This window comes from Homo sapiens, chromosome 8 (assembly GCF_000001405.40).
Source record: "Homo sapiens chromosome 8, GRCh38.p14 Primary Assembly".
NCBI classification, from domain to species: domain Eukaryota; kingdom Metazoa; phylum Chordata; class Mammalia; order Primates; family Hominidae; genus Homo; species Homo sapiens.
The window spans coordinates 32,866,656-32,884,662 of NC_000008.11; positions in this window are offsets into that span (position 1 = coordinate 32,866,656).

Sequence of the window (18,007 nt, forward strand, 5' to 3'; positions counted from 1 at the left end):
AATTTTGATTCTTTTAAAAGAACCATACTATAGAACTACAAGGTCTGAGAAAAGCGCTTTAATAGCAATAATTGTAAAAATTTTGGAGTTCTAGTTGATATTTCAATATGAATCATAAGTGGGGAAAAACTGAGTAAGTTTAGCCATTATGCATCTATCGCAAGAGAGGATAAAGTCACACTGTAGTTTGCACTGTCAAAACCTACCTGGAATATCGTGATCAACTACAGGTCCCAATTTTAAGAAGGACATTGACAAATCATTACTCACCTAAAGAAAGGTGGAGCCAGCAATGGTGGCTTATGCCTGTAATCTTAGCACTTTGGAAGGCTGAGGTATGAGGATTGCTTGAGTCCAGATTTTCAAGACCAGCCTGGGCAACAAAGTGAGACACTGCCTCTACAAAATAAATAAAAAATTAGCCAGGCATGGTGGCATGTGCCTGTAGTCACAGTTACTTGGGAGGCTGAGGCAGGAGGATTGCTTGAGCTCAGGAGTTCAAGGCTGCCATGAGCTATGATCACACTACTGCACTCCAGCCAGGGTGGACTCTGGTTCTAAATTTAAAAAAGAGAGACAGAGAGAAAGGTAAGGGTTTTGGATACACTTTTTAAAAAGAGATTGAAGCAGCTGGGTTTATCATAGTTGTCTTCATACATGGGAAGGGCTATGATGTCATAGATTAGAATAATTCTCTGTGGCCTAAGGTGTAGAAATAGTCCCAAAACATGGAAGATGCAATAAATACTCTTAAGTTAATCTAAGGAAAATATTTTACAAGCTAGAGACAGAGGCATCATATTTCAGCAGATCAATTGATTTGAGTGTTTGAAACATAAGGGAAAGATGTGGAAGAAATATATACATTTGGGAATCGGCCTATAGTTTAAATGATACAACTAGAGAGTGTGTGTAGATCAGATGTTCACTTCCCAGGATATATTTCATCCTAGGGTATCTTTAATCAGCTACAGGGAAGCCACATTTTATTTGTATGTGCAATTCTCCAGGGAGATGATCTCTAATTAATAGTTCCCAGTGTTCTAAAGATCCCATAACCATAAAATTTAAACTTTCCTTACATGTAGTCAGACAAAAAAAAACATTGACCAACAAAAGGGCACTTGAGGTGCACTAACTTAAAGTGCAGGTAGAGGAATGAGAAGAAACAACGAGAGAACCATAAGGACAACTGTGTAAAAATACAGTGACAGAATTCAATGAAAGGAAATTTAATGGTGAGAGTGAACAGCAGTTTGAATGCTTTGGAAAGGTTTCACATGACAAAACTCAGAACATGCCTCGAAGAGGTGAGACATACATCTCAAACAAGGTAAATGATATGCAAAGCAACAACACAAGAGCTGTCAGGAAGCCAAGTGGCAGACCAATTTAAAATAAATGGTGCAGAAAAAGCTGTGAGGTCAGAAGAAGGAAAGTTTTAGTGGAGAGAGCTGAAGGTTGAAGGAAACCCTTGTACAGATGGTCGAACATAAGCTAGATTTGCAAGTCATTACACTTGTTATTTTATTCCAATGAATGGTATTTTTATAGTTAAACTTCTTTCATCTTATTCTGTCTCCTGAGTAAAAACACATCCTTCACAGAAGTACCTACATGTTTGAGGATGACTATTACGTCTCTCTCGACCTTCTTGCCTCTAATTTCAAGAATTCTTTCCAATGAAGAGCCCCACAGAACTTGATTAGAAGTCAGGATTTGACTTGAGAGGATATGAAGAGCCTCTTCTAGATTCTGTGTGAGTTGTATCATGACCCCCTGAAAAGTTTCAAGAATAGCATTTTGCATCACAATATTTCATGCAGAAAAGACTGGGAAAAGGAAAATGTAAGTCTCTTATGCTTGGTCTCTGGCCACAGCAGTGGAAATCCAGAGGAAGGGGCAGACCTGAGAAACACTGGCAAGGAAGGATTGCAGAGCTTGGTCATGAACAGGATGCATGATGGCTGAGATAGCAGAGATTGAACTCTCCTTCACTTTGTGACGGTTTTAGCAGCCCCAGTGCTCAGACGGGTGCAACTTGGATTAAAGACCAGCATTCAGTTGCCACATCTTTTTATTACACAAGCAGTACAGGCCTGTAAAAGACAACCATGGAAGGGAATATGAAAACTACAGAGCAAGGAATATTAAAAGAATCTTTTGACTGGATTTTGTTTTCTGGTTTCTGAAATGAAAGTGAAAGTGTCCAAAAGGATCTAAGGTGTCTCTTACAGAGTTTGGTTCAGAAAATCCTCTAAGGATTAGCTTAGGAAGCCCAAGGAACTGTGTGTCAATCCTCTGCCTATCTGTTGTTTGTCATTGTTGTTTGTTTGTTTGTTTGTTTTTTGAGACAAGGTCTCACTCTGCCACCCAGGCTAGAGTATGGTGTGATCACAGGTCACCCCAGGCTCAAGCAATCCTCCTACTTCAGCCTCCTGAGTAGCTGAGACTACAAGAACACACTATTTATTTTTTTTATTTTTTATTTTTTTCATTTTATTTTTAGTTTTATTTTGTAGAGACAGGGTTTTACCATGTTGCCCAGGCTGGTCTTGAACTCCTGGGCTCAAGCAGTTGTCCTGCCTTGGCCTCCCAAAGTGCTGGGATTACAGGCATGAACCACCACACTCAGCTCTCTGTCCATCTCTAAATGGGAACAGGAGAATAAAGAAGTGGGGGAAAAAGGGACACTTCACTCAGAAGAAAGGGCACTAATTATCTGGCACAGGTATCTGAAATGAAATTGACATTTGTTGAGCCTCTACTAGGGATCAGGCACTTAATGTACCTTGTTTACTGTCTTGGTTACTAATAGTCCTTGGAAAGACTCTTTTTCCTATGGAGAAATAAACAGCCTACCTGTACAGGATGCATCTGTCCTCTCTCAGAGAAATAATGTCTCAAGAAAAAGAATCATGAGACTTTAGGGGAAAGGCTAGTTTCAGAATATAATCTGTGCAAAAACGAGGTTGAGGTTAGACCTTATGAGCAAAGCATATTTGTTCACAGTGGATAGAATCATAAGAGATCCTGTGGTCTCCTTCCTCTATGAAGATAATGTACTACTGTCATTATGCCATCCTTTTAAAACAAGGCACCCAGGCCCAGGCAGGAGAGCTTGGAACTATGATGGCAACTTGCTTCCTGCTCTGTGATACCTCCTACCAGTTTTCTCCACCCTGCAAGTCTCCGCCAGAGTTTGTAAACCTGGAGTACCAGTGGCATATTTCACACCCTGACTTCTACATTTTGCAGGAATGTTGGAACGATTTCTACTGTGCATTCTCAGTAGAAATCAACTTGCATGCACTGACTTATTTGACCTCCATATATCTGACATTTTCCATCCCAGTTGAAAAGACAGGACTACTGTATATCACTACAGTTTCCTCAGAGTCCATGAGGAAGACTCAGTAATGGCAGAGAGTGGGTAAACCACCTTCTCTCAGAGATGTAGCACTTGAAAGAGGTTGCTTGCTTCCAGAGCTTGCTGGAAAATAAATGTAGGTATATCCTTTCATGCTGGGTGGATTTAGCTGCATTCCCCAGAAGACTAATATTTCTTCTGAGGGTTATTTTCTTGAAATCCTTATGAATGTTTGAAAAGGGGTCCCTATAGAGAAAACTACCTCAGTCACATGCACAAGGGCCTCTGAATTATGTTGCAATTTCTAGTGTGAATGCTATGTTAGAGTGCAGTATCATGGGTGACGATGAAAATGCACCCAAGTCAAGAAATTTAAATTTATGATTTCAGCAACAGTCTTAACTTTTCCCACTCTCGTATGCTCAGTGCTTTATGTTATTGTAGTTCCAGTGAAATTTATGCCTCAGTGTGCATTGCAAGTGAGTTATGGCTACTCTGGGAATGTTAATTTTGCATTTCCTGACTTCTGTGTGTTCAAAGGGACAAGCTTTCAAAACTGGCCTACAAAATAGCACACCAGACCAGCTGATGCTGTGTACCTCCCTGTGCCTGTGGAATGGGAGTGAGAAGACCTCACGGCTGGGTCTTCTTTGTGTCTATTCCTAGGTCTATATTTTACAGGAGCATGGCTCAGGTGGGGAATGTCCTGCCTTACATGGGCATTCAATCCAGGCAAGAAGTATGAGGCAATGGAAAAGGAAGATCACATGGATTACTTGTTATTTCCTCTTCTTTTTCTTTTTCTTTAAAGACAGGGTCTTGCTCTGTCACCCAGGCTGGAGTGCAGTGGTGTGATCATAGCTTACTATAACTTTGAACTCCTGGGCTTAAGTAACTTGTTGTTATTGATAGCTATCATTTATTGAGCACCTACTCTATGCCAGGAATTGTTCTAAATGTTTCACTTTTGTGTTTCATGTTGCTTTTTATCAACCATTTGAGGCAGGTTTTATCATCCCAGCACTGAGTGAGATAGACAGTCGTAAGTTTGCTCAAGGTCACCTGACTAGTAGAGCCAGAATTCAGATCTAATTTTTTTTTTTTTTTTTTTTTTTTAGATGGAGTCTCACTCTGTCGCCCAGGCTGGAGTGCAGTGGCATGATCTCGGCTAATTGCAAGCTTCGCCTCCCGGGTTCAGGCCATTCTCCTGCCTCAGCCTCCTGAGTAGCTGGGACTACAGGCACCTGTAACCACACCCAGCTAATTTTTTGTATTTTTAGTAGAGATGGGGTTTCACCATGTTAGCCAGGACGGTCTTGATCTCCTGACCTCGTAATCCACCCGCCTCAGCCTCCCAAAGTGCTGGGATTATAGGCGTGAGCCACCGCACCTGGCCTAGATCTAGTTCTACTGACCACAATGTCCATGCTCTACCTGGGGCTTGCCTCTCCAGTCCCCAAGTCCTGAAATGCAATTTCAGCTCAGCCCTCGCTAGCTGTGTAATCTTCACTAGGCCTTTAACCTTGGTTTCTTCATTGGTGAGACAAAGAACATGTTGGCATAAGTAGGATCAAATTTAATTATGACTTTGCTATTTTCATTGCTCTCTGTTAAGGACATCAAGCCCACAATTGTTGGTTCAGCCAAAGAGAAAGGGCCAAGAAAGAAAGGTCTATCTATATTTATCATTGGTTACATGCTAATGAGGGCCAGCATTTTTGCCTGTTTTGTTCATATTTGTCCAGTGCCTCGAGGAGTGCTTAGTATAGAGACATTCAGTATTGTTTGTTGATTGAATAAATTATTTCCATTATGCCATCTCTCACCCCACAGTCTCTCTTCTGTTTCCTATCATCTTGGGCACAGTTGTGTGTTCTGGACGTTGGACATTTTCTGTCTTCTTTCAAAAATCGTCTTGCCCAATCACTACAGCAACTTACTTTCTGCTTAGGAACTGACATCTTGCTCCAGAAACAATTTAGTGTTTCTACTCTTGGGAATTTGCAAAGCAACAGATGTTTTCTGCATACTGTATCTAAACCCACAGCAATTTGAATAGTGAGACTTCCTGATACTGTGCCAGGCTCTGAGGAATAGATTTTGGAGACAGATATTTGGCACCCCTAAAATTTTAGTAGGCCTAGGTCCAGCCTCGTCCATGTCAGTGGCAGTTGGGCCAAATTCACCGAGTCAGACATTCCTGCCCTCAGGAGACCCCACCACCCCACAAGCTGTGGTTTCTAAGAAGCACTGAAGTTTGTATATCCAGCACCTTTGCAATTGTGTTAGTAACTTCTTCTGCCTTATGAAGAAGTTTTCTGAAATGCCTTACCCTTTCTGAAGGAGCTTTTCAGGTTCCAGACATTAATTCTTGTGCTTCTAGGTCCTATAGCCAACAATCAGCCTCAATACCCTTCCAATCATGTCCACATTACCATCCACTAAATTTGGGGCTCTCTGCTGCTTTGTGATATTGTCATCTTTTTCTTGCTCTGCTGGAGCAGATGATCTCAATATCATTATCCTTATGGCAAGGTTTTAAAATTCACTCTTTCTAAAATGACTCATTGGCACTCCTATAAATGGTCCATTGCCTCTAGCTCATGAGGTCTCACTGCACTCTTCATTTCTTAGCAAGGCTGACTTCCTCCCAGAATGCTGTTCTTGCTCCTGATAACTCCTAGACTCCCTCACTCCTCCCCTTCCCAGTTCCCTAAGTATACTTGCTCAGTTTTGTTCTGACATTAAAAAAGGCAAGGTTATGAAACTAGTGAGGAAGTAACTTTTAGTGGTGAAAACAAGACCTTGAGGTATAAATCACAACTTTGCCACTTAATATCTGGGTGAGAGGGAGCAAGTTGTTATTGCTCTTTTAGACCCAGTTTCTCATCTGTTGAGCTAGACAACAATGCCCTTTTTGTGGGGATTGGTCTATCATTGGTAAGTGCCCATTGAATGTTTCTTATTCCTAGTGAATAAGAGTCATACTGCAGATTTCCTGGAAGAAGTATTTTATTGACAATAAAAAAATAATAAAAGAGCTGTCATTCAGATTTTTTTTAAGGGGACTGAAGGGGGAAGAGACTGCAGAAAGAAATATTGTCATAATTGTGAAAGTTACTGTGTTTAGTAATTTGACTTTCTTTGTAATCAATAAAGTAAAGAAACATATTTTGGTTTTTCAGTGTGTTTTTGAGTGTGTGTGTGTGTTTCATTTGAGCTTAAAGTTTCTTTTTCTTGTCAGAAGCAGTAAATTCATTCATCCCTTTCAACAAAATTTTAGAGAATGCCTATTGTGTGTCTTATACTCTGTAAAGTGCTGACTAATGCAGACTCCCATGCAGGCAAAACAGAAAATCACAATGAATGATTATAATTGTGACAAATGCCACCACAGTGTCTCATAGAGAGTTCATTTTTGCGGCCTCCTGCTTGTGTTACAGGAAACGGAAGCATTTATGGGAGATGTTCTGAAGGGGATTTCCCCCTGGCTCTTCTCCCTGTCAGAAGGGGACATCTCCTTTGAAGTGTCTCATATTATGGGAAGACAGAGCTATCCAGAAAGCAACTAGCTGAAGCTTCAGGCAGTTGTAGGGAAGGGAGGGCACTTGGGATTGTTGTCCTAATAATTTAAAGAACCCTCAGAAGATTTCAAAAGCCAGGGAGATGTGTGCCATGAATATGAAGCCAGTTTTTTGGTTTTTGATTTTTGTTTTCTCCACGCATTTGCACAGATGCAGCAGGGATGGATGACGGGTGGTGTGATGTCACTAGTGAATGATATCAAAGGAAAGAGCTCTGGGTAATCACCAGGGCTAGTCTATTTATCTGGATAGACTTGTTTAGACTTGTTTAAGTCTAAATAAGTGTTGTTCGTTAGTTTGTTCTGGTAGCTGAATATATCTTTGGAATCTAAGATTCTATATGCACATATGTACATACATGTCCCTTTACGGGGATTCCTTGTTCTTCAGCTAAATGCCATCTAACAACAAGCTAATTGAAAACAGTCTCAGTATCTAGGTCAGTGAATTAAATGGATTCCATGCCACCACCCATCCCCAACACAACACACATATACACACACACTGACACACTGCAGATACATTCTTTCTTTTTTCTTTTTTTTGAAGATGAGATCTCCCTCTCTTACCCAGGCTATAGTGCAATGGTATGATCACAGCTCACTGCAGCCTCAAACTCCTGGGCTCGAGTGATCCTCCCACCTCAGCCTCCTCAGTGGCTGGGACTACAGGCAAGCACCACCATGCCTGGCTAATATTTTACTTTTATTTTGTAGAGACGGGGTATTTCTATGTTGCCCAGGCTGGTCTTGAACTTTGGGACTCAATAAATCTTCCCACTACAGCCTCCAAAAGTGCTGAGATTACAAGTGTGAGCCACCCGCCATACCTGTCTCAGATACATTATTTTAGCAACCTTTCCTCGTTTAATTTTTGCGATAGTCCAAATTCTAAATGTTCTGCTTAATTTTTGGACATTGTGTCAAACCATGTGTCCTGATTTGGCACTTACAATTATACAATCTTTCCATGAATATTAAATCTCAGTATTTCTCTAGGACATTCAACAGTTTCTTTAGTGGCATTGCTTTGCTGTCCCAGTAGTCCTGGTTTTCTTTTTGTCCTTGGTAGCCCCCATCAACTCTGCTTTTCAATATTCCCTAATGAAATACCTCTCCAGGGATTGGTAGTTCCCACCCTGATGTCACCATCTGACCCTAGAGACCTAAAGTAGTGTTACAGTGAGTAAGGTCGGAGTATGACAAGACAACCCTCTGGAGGTCATCCCAGTTCTGTAGTTTGTCTCCAGGTCCTTCTCATGAGTGGATCGTGAATAGCCAGGAAAGTAGAGGTTAGCTATTCCTATGATCTGAAGTTCTCCAATCTAATTGTGAATCTTGTTGTGCCACCTTGAATGAGTCACCCAATCCTCTGTGGCTCAGAGGATTGGGTATCCTCTGAAAAAGGGGGATACGATTTGTACCAGCTTCATGGTGTTGCTGCGAGGATGAGGTGAGTTAATACATTTAATTAGACCAGTGACTGGAAAATAGAAGGCACGATATAAGTATCTTCTTTTAATGTTATTACTGCTACTATCACTACTATAATTTATCAGTATTAGTAGAAGTGCTAAGGTGCAGTGACACAAGCCCTCTTAGAAAGCTCATATGAGCACAGGAAGGAAAGAAGAGAGAAAGTAAGAAGGCAACTTTAACAAAGACCAAAGCACTCCTTTTCCCTCCACACTGAACTACAGGTTAATGATGAGGTTATCATGACCCGGTTGGATCGCAAGGGCTGTTCCAGCAGCTGACATCTGTTCTAGAACCTATCCTTTTTTCTCCTTGTTTGCCTCTGCTTGTATGGTCACCTCACCCCGCACCACATTGCTAGCTGTCTCTCTTTACTCTGACTCAGCCAGCAGGCATCTCAAAACTCAACACAGGGAAATCCACAGCCAAGCATCACAACTTTATCTCTTGTCTTTTCTTCTCACTCTTTGTGGTACAACGTTCCTTCCAATGCAGTTGTGGGTCTCTATTAACACTTCTGTGGCTTTCTCCCCACCCCATCAACTCTGTAACCAATCACTACATATGCACTGTAATTTAGGCTGGAATCTGAGCTTTGACTTTTACCAAGAAATTATGTATTTCTAAATATTGGCCTTTGGTTCTACTACTTGGGTCTAAAGGACATGTTCACATATTTCCTGTCTATTCAGATGACTGGTAACTTGGGTGATTAAATGTTTTTCAGATTGTTTTATTTTACTTAAACTCTAACCTCCTTCTCTAATGCTTGAATTATTTTTTTTTCAAGGGATTGGCCAATTTGTGTTTGGTTGTCTAGGGAAAAAAGTGTCTGAGAGCGATTAGATGAAGCCAACTTGCTTTCAGAAAATGTAATTTTCTTAAGATACTAGAGCATGATGACTTCCTTTCTTTGACACAAATATGCCTTATCTAGACCTACTAATGAGATTAACCTAGAAAATGGACGTGCAAAATGGGGAGTTTGTTTTAAACTTTGACATACACCAGTTGAAAAAAATTCTGAGAAATTTTTAACTAAAAAAAATTCAAGCCAGGTACAGTGGTGCATGCCTGTAATCCCAGCTACTCAGGGGGCTGAGAAGTGATGATCACTTGAGACCAGTATTGGAGGCCAGCTTGAGCAACATAGCAAGAGCCTTTCTCTAAAAAAGACATTCAAGTGGTAACAGAGAGCAATTTAGTAAAAATCATTACATTCAGAATTTTCAAATATAAAAAGAAAAAAAGAAAATGCTAGCTAAGGGAAAATAAAAGCAGCTTGCAGTCCACAGTGACTGCCAGTGTCAAGCAGGAACTTCATTGGCCTTGGACAGGGTGTTCTAGATGTCACAGTGTCAGGCAATCAACAGACGGCTGTCTGATAACTGTAACTTTTGCCACAGTCCCTGGTCACAGCAGCTGATGTGAAGGATGTATGATGAAAGTGTGTACATTATTAGGAATGCAGAAGTTAGAACAGCCAAATGCTAAATGGCAGGTGGACAGACAAAAAAAAAAATGTGCTTTTATTCTGTTCCAAGGTGCTTAATTTTGGTTAATCCTTTGCTTTCTACTGATCACACACAACCTTCTTCAATTCTAGACACCATTGCATATGGGCACTTAACACTTTTAAATATACTATGTATTGTGTCTTACTTATTTTATTTTCTGTTCCTTATCCCCCACTACTGTTGTGGGAAGTCAGGGACCCCGAACGGAGGGACTGGCTGAAGCCATGGCAGAAGAACATAAATCATGGACATTTATTAGTTCCCCAAATTAGTACTTTTATAATTTCTTATGCCTGTCTTTACTGCAATCTCTGAATATAAATTGTGAAGATTTCATGGACATTTATCACTTCCCCAATCAATACTCTTGTGATTTCCTATGCCTGTCTTTACTTTAATCTCTTAATCCCATCAACTTTGTAAGCTGAGGAGGATGTATGTCACCTCGGGACCCTGTGATGATTGCGTTAACTGCACAAATTGTTTAAACAATATGAAATCTGGGCACCTTGAAAAAAGAACAGGATAACAGCGATGTTCAGGGAAAAAGAGAAATAACCATTAGGTCTGGCTGCCTGAGAGCTGGGCAGAACAGAGCCATATTTCTCTTCTTTCAAAAACAAATAGGAGAAATATCGCTGAATTCTTTTTCTCAGCAAGGAACAGCCCTGAGATATAGAATGTGTGGCTAGGGGTAGGTCTCTAAAATGGCAGCTTTGGGAATGTCTGTCTTTTACTTTTATAGATAAGGGATTAAATAAGCCCTGGTCTCCTGTAGCACTCCCAGGCTTATTAGGACAAGGACATTCCCGCCTAATAAATTTTGGTCAGACCGGTTGTCTGCTCTCAAACCCTGTCTCCTGATAAGATGTTATCAATGACAATGCGTGCCCGAAACTTCATTAGTAATTTTAATTTCGCCCCAGTCCTGTGATCTCGCCCTGCCTCCATTTGCCTTGTGATATTTTATTACCTTATGAAGCATGTGGTCTCTGTGACCCACACCCTATTCGTACACTCCCTCCCCTTTTGAAAATCACTAATAAAAACTTGCTGGTTTTGAGGCTTGGGGGGCATCACGGAACCTGCCAACATGTGACATCTCCCCTGGACACCCAGCTTTAAAATTTCTCTCTTTTGTACTCTTGCCCTTTATTTCTCAGACCAGCTGACAGGGAAAATAGAAAAGGACCCATGTTGAAATATCAGGGCTGAATTTCCCCCGATACACTACAATGTAAGCTCAGTTAGAGCAGGGGAGTTCCATCTGTTTTGTTCACTCCTATATCTCTCACCCAGAATAGTTAGTGCCTGGCACATAGTAGGTGCTCAATAAATATTGGTTGAGCAAGCATGTGATTTCCTTGCAGTTCCACAAACAAAACACTACTCACCTTAACCTCCAACAGAATACCCAGATTCCAGACACAATGATCTTTCTTAGAATCATGGATCTTTTGAGCCTAAAGAAACTAGGAGGTTCTACAGTCCAATCCCTTAATTTTACTGATAAAGAGGCTGAAGTCCAGAGTTTCAGCGGATTGCTCCAGCACATAACAAATCAAACAAATAACCAGGAATAGAAATTGAGACTTCTGGCCCACTGCTCTTTTTCCATTAATTTCAGCATAAACCCATTCCCATTGCTGAAATAGCAGTGGCCTCATCCATCATAGGAGCATAACCCTTGGGAGTTCTCTTGGGTGAAGAGCTCCATGACACTGAGCCTGCTCTGGGATCGTTTTGGTGGCTCATATGTTTTCCCAGTCGAAGACAATGAATTCCATGTTGTTGAAAGCTTTCATTCTACCTTCAAGTCTTCAGACACGCAGATTCTCCTCTCCCTCCCTCCACCAGATTCTAGCTCAAGCTCTACTCATCCCATGAAGTTTTGCCCCTTGAATCCAGCCCATATTGATGTCATGTTCCTCTGCTTTGCTGTAGTTGTAATAGGATGATAAATCCAAAGGCCTGTAGAGGCCAATTTAGTAAAGTAAATAAAGAAAACTGCCCAGGGTGAGAAATGAAATCCCAGGATCACTAGATCCTTCCACTTTTAAAGAAGCTATAGTTTCCCAGAGTTAAGTTCCCACCGTCACTGATCTCTTTAGCTTTTTGCTCCTTCCTTTCAGGAATTCAAAGGAAGAATGTGGTCTCCAGGGGCATTCCCAGCCCTACCATCTCCCCTCTGGGTGCCCTCCTTCACTGCAGTTCACCCTGTAGACTTTATTCACATCACCACCAAGGTGATTCCCTGACAATGTGAACCTCAGTGAGAGGTGAACAGAGAGGACTCCCTGCTCCTCCTCTTTCAGACCCAGGAGCTGTCTTTAGCCCCATTCTGAAGACCACCCTTTTCCTGTATTTCCATCCGGGCTTTGGTCAAGTAAGCATTCCTAAATCCCTTAGAGATGAGGGCTCTTCTCCTTTCTGGGTCTAGGGCTACATCATTTTGCCTTCAGGTTTGAATTGCTGTTCCTTCAGCCTCATTTCTCACTGATTGCACTGTTTTCCCTGGAGATGGCTTTGAGGACATCCTGGAGGAGCCGTGCTGGGGTGTCAGCCTGCCACCCTCCCCTGGGCAGCTGCCCTGCCTGCCTTCTTAACCTCACGTTGGACTTTCCTGTTTTCTCTCCCTTTCATTCATCTTTGCCAAGAGATGATTCTTTTAACACCCTGACTCTGGATCAAATTGTTTTCTATCTCCTGAAGCTTCTCTTCATTTGAGCTTCTCTTCACTTTTGACTTTTTTTGCTCATCGCTATTTGAAAACGGAGCTATTTCTACTTCTTTGAATTCTGAATGTTCTTCTAAGGGATCCAAATAACCATCAACATGTAAGAAAAGCTGTCTCTGTCTTTCTCTGAGTTCTTCTCTAATCACTGAGAGAACTATAGGATATACACAGTCATCTTTGAAAAACCCATCTCTTGGGTAGTCTCTTGACCTCCCAGTCCCTTTGTAGGAACATCTCTGCTGAAGCCTGTCCCTAGCATAGACAGGCTGTTCTTGCTTTAGAGCCTGAAATGTGTGCGTCTCTTTTCCTTGACTCAGAAGAAATGAATTTAAGAGATACATATTGTTTTAATCAAAAACTTTTTTTCATTTAACCAGTAATACAGATAGTTTCAAGCTATCATCCTTTCTCTTCTTCCCTGGGACAAACATCACTTATTCCAGTAAGCAGGAAAGATATTTTATGGCTTCAATGACGCACATTTTATCAAGCTGTCAACTAAACTTTGTGAATTATTTGTATGGAGTATTTTGGTGTTGATGTCTGGGGGCAAGGTCAGGTCAGGATTGCTAAAGACGAGACTAGGAGACTTCATCAACCAGATTGTGAAGATTCTTGAATACCATATAAAAGGGTCTGGAATTTTACCTAGAGAGAACACATACATTTAGGTAAGAGTGCTAGGTTTTAGAATAAAATAATGTGATGGCAGGAAGGAAGATGATTTTTAAAGATAGAAACTAGGATTAGGAAGACAAGCCATGGTCATGGATACAGAAAATAGTGACAGATTTGAGGGAAAGAATTGGCAGGATTTGAGGTAGGTGAGGAAAAGGGAGGGATTCTATTTGGTGGGGGGGATTTCAGATATAAAGAGAAAGATGGATGATTTGAGAGCAGGATGGTTGCTCTAAAGGTAAACTTTCAGATGGTTCTAAAGTCATCTCTGCAGTAGGCTATTTCTTCAGAGGTCTAGTGGACTTCTCACAGACCACCAGGAGAACAAATGAAAAGTCTTGGTGGCTGAGGCCACCTCCTTTCCCCACTTTGTAAAACAGGAGGAATATAAGGGTGCCTTCATGGGATAACTGTTCACAAAGCTATCTGAACTCTGGTTAGAAACACAAAGAAATTATAAATGTTTGAGTTGATTGATATGCTAATTACCCTGATTTGATAACTATACATTATACATATCAAAACATCACTATGTACTCCATATATATCTGCAATTTTATGTGTCAATTAAAATTTTTTAAAAATCTGTTAATTAGAGTCTATTGGAAATTTCACTACTGGCATTAAAAATCAGAGCCTGTGCTGCTGAAATTTATATTCTCCACTGGTAACCTAGGAATTGAAGTGCTGTTCAAGTTTTCAAAAACAAGCATGAAGCATTAAGAAAAATGCAATTGTCAACAGAAGGAAGTAAAATAGAAAGTAGATACAACTCCCTATGATCAGCCTGAGGTAGAGTCAGACCCTGGCCAAACCCACAGCAAACTTCATAAATTTAAAAATAATTTTCTAAGTGCTTACAAATCCATTGTATTATGATCTTTTTTTAAAAAGGAAAAGTCATTTTATCCCCCTGTTATCTAATGCTATCTATCATCTAATAGATACTCTTGAGGAAAAACATCTGTTAATACCCCTGAGCATTCTTCATTGTACCCTAAACACATGAGAATTCCCTTTCGTAAGTAATTGACCTTCATTATCATTGTGACATTATTCTTATTCTGGGAACCAAGCTCTCTGATTGGGAGTCCCACCCTGGGTTAACCTTAGTCCCTATGGTTCCTTCCTTTAGCCAAGTTTTTGTTTGTTTTGTTTTGTTTTGCTTCCAGGACTCTCCACCATCCCATTCATGTACCCCTCCCGATAGGGGGTTAGTGGCCACACCTGGCCTGCAAACCTGAAGATTTAAGATGCACAGTGTCGCTATTTGACCTTCATTTTTGGAGGCTATAGGATTTTAGAGTGATAGCTTTTCTCTTTCAACACTCTAAAGCTGTTCTATTTTTCTTTTCTGGTTTGCATTGTTTCTGATGAGGTCTGCAGTTTCCCTTATTTGTTTCATAGTATTATTTATTATTGTAAAGTTTCTTCTTTCCTCTGGCTGTTTGTAAGATTTTATTTTATCTTCTCTTTCTAGTAATTTTATTATGATGTATATTTATGTGGTTACTATTCTGGGGAGTTTGCCAAGATTCTTAGATCTGTTAGGTTACAGTTTTCAAAAAGTGTCAAACAATTTGTCCATTGGTTCTTCAATTTTTTTTCTCCTTCTACCTTGTTTTGGACTTCAGTAATATATATGTTAGACTAATTATTATTGTCCTATGGGTCGCTGGCTCTCTATTTCTTTATTTTTTTTCAGTCTTTTTAAATATCTATTCCTCAGTTTGTATAACTTCTATTGCTCTATCTTTAAATTTACTAATTTTCTCTTTTACAGTATCTAATCAGCTGATAATTCTGTCTAGCATGCTGATAATTCTATCCATGGAATTTTTTTTATTTTCATAATTTTTAGCTGTAAAAGTTCTGTTTTATTCTTTTTCAATCTTCTATTTTTCTCATTAGTTTCATGGTTATTCCTCTAAATCTATCAACATATTTATGAAAGCAATTGTAAAGTCTACTAAATTGATCATGTCTGTTATTTCTGGATCTATTTCTGCCATGAATATTTCTCCAGGTTATACTGAACATTTTTCTTTACATACCTCAACATTTTTGTTTGGATGTTGAATATTAAATTATCAGGTCTAGATTTTGTTGTCTTCTCCTTAAAGAACATTGAACAATTTTGTTTTGGCAGATACTTAAGTAATTTGCAAATCAACTTGATCCTTTCAAGTCTACTTTTAAAATTTTGTTAGGTCAGATCTAGAGTAGCCTTTACCTTAGAGTTGGTTCAGCTCTAATACTAAGATATGATTCTTCTGGAGTCTCTCCTGAATATCTGAGTTTCTAATGCATTGTCTCTAAGAACTTTAATGTCTCCCAACCCTGTGTAAGCTCTAGGAATTTGTCAGATTAAAACTCACCAGTAGTTTTGGCATACTATGTATGACAGTTTCACCCACACATGTCCAGTGTACTACGGGCATCAGGTCAAGTGGACTTAGATGCAGAGTTCTGAAGTTCTACTTCTGTATACGTTTCTCTCCTCAGGTACTCTGTCATCTGAATTCCAACCTCCTTTGCCTCCTCTAATTTCAGCATCTGTATTTTAAGTTAAGGGAGAACTTCCTGCTTTACTTGAATTTCTTTCCTTGTCCCATGATCTGGACATGCTTCTAGGTAGAAATCCAGAACCAATGCAGGGCTCACTGCATTTACCTTTTCTCATGGATCACAGTCCTGAACTTCATTTTATCAAAGATCTAAAAACAGCTATTTCATATTGTTTTTTAATATTTTATTTATGATGCAAAGGCAAGTCCAGTAGAAGTTACTCTGATATGGCCAGAAGTGGAAATCTTATCTGCATAATGTATTAAAATTCAAGATTTACATAAAAATCCATATATATATATATATATATATATATATATATATATATAATCTCTTTTTGAAAAGTAGAAAGATCTAAACAGTTCTACCTTTCATGAAATTTATTGACTGAAGTTGATTTGCAAGTGTCCACTTCTTGGTTGAATATGCATGCCCAAGTTTTCTCATTTCCACCAAGATAATGTCACTCATTTTGCCTGCTGCTTTTATTCTATAACTACAACCACAAATTTATTCTATAAAGTAATACTAGTCAGTATTTTTGATCAAATGATGACAATCTTTCCAATGCAGGTAAAAAAGCAAAACTTTAAAATGATAGCATTTTATACAATATTCCAAAACATATACCATCAAGCGTTACAGGAATATGCAAGATATTATGGTGGCACAAAGATAGCAATGAAACACATTTTGAATTGAATAACAATTTTTAAGTATTTTGAGATGGCAATATTGAAGAGGAAGCTATCTAGCTACTTGTTTACCTGTAAGATAAATATGGTGAAAAGAAATTGTTGGAAGATGCTTACTAATGCACAGTTGTTAGCATATTGTTCCCAAAATGGCATTGATGATGATCATTAATCATGACTAGTTTGGCTGTTTTCATCCAAATCCTGTCCTATACTCTTTACTAAATCTGGATGTCCTGTTTTTGCAGCCCCATTAGCCTTCCAGATCCTTAGACTTAAACCTGCAGTCAATTTTTTTTTCTCCTTCCTCTTGATCCTTCCTATCCAGTAAATTGAGATTACTGACTTGAGGCTGGATGCTGTGGTTCACGCCTGTAATCCCAGAACTTTGGTAGGCTGAGGCGGGCAGATCACTTGAGGTCAGGAGTTCGAGACCAGCCAGACCAACATGGTGAAACCCTGTTTCTACTAAAAATACAAAAATTAGCTGGGTGTGGTCGTGGGTGCCTGTAATCCCAGCTACTCGGGAGGCTGAGGCTGGAGAATTACTTGAACCCAACAGGAAGAGGTTGCAGTGAGCCGAAATCACACCACTGTACTCCAGCCTGGGTGACAGAGGTAGACTCCATCTCAAAAAAAAAAAAAAAAAAAAATTACTGACTTGACCTTGACCTTCATAGTTTCTCTCCTATCTCTTCCTACTCTTTGTATTACCGATGTCTATCTTTGCTCAGTCCCTGCTTCCCCAGCTAGTTTCCACAATAAATATTGCCAAATATTAATCTTCCTAATATAAACTGGTGTCATATTACTTCCCTGGTTACAAACCTTCTGTGTTTCCTCATGGTTTATAGAATGAACTAAAAACTTCCTAGTCTTTCAAGGTCTACCACAATTTAGCCACAGACTTGCTCTCATCTTATTTCTTACTATTCTCATTTATGTATATTACCTCTAAGATATCAAGAAATGTTAATTAGAGCTGAAATAAATATGTATCCTAAAGAGGCCTCGAATCTTTCAAATTCCTCCTTACTTTGTCCATGCCATTGCCTCTGTTTGATGTGTTTATACCAGTATTTTATGGGTCCAAACTCTACTGTTACTCAAAATTCAGCTCAGTTACTAACCCGTATATATCTTCCCCATTTCCCCCATTTTAAAGCTTTTCTTCTGACTATGGGACAACTTTAGCAATTTATCTGTTTGTATTGAGTTGCAACTTATCACTTATTACCTTGTATTATTGTTATTTGCATACACATATATTCTTACATGTCTTGATAATGGATTATTTCCCTGAAGGCAGGATTCATGTTCATTATTCTGTCCTTTACATCCCCTTGCATGGTACCTTGTTGGTCCTTGATAAATATTAAGAGG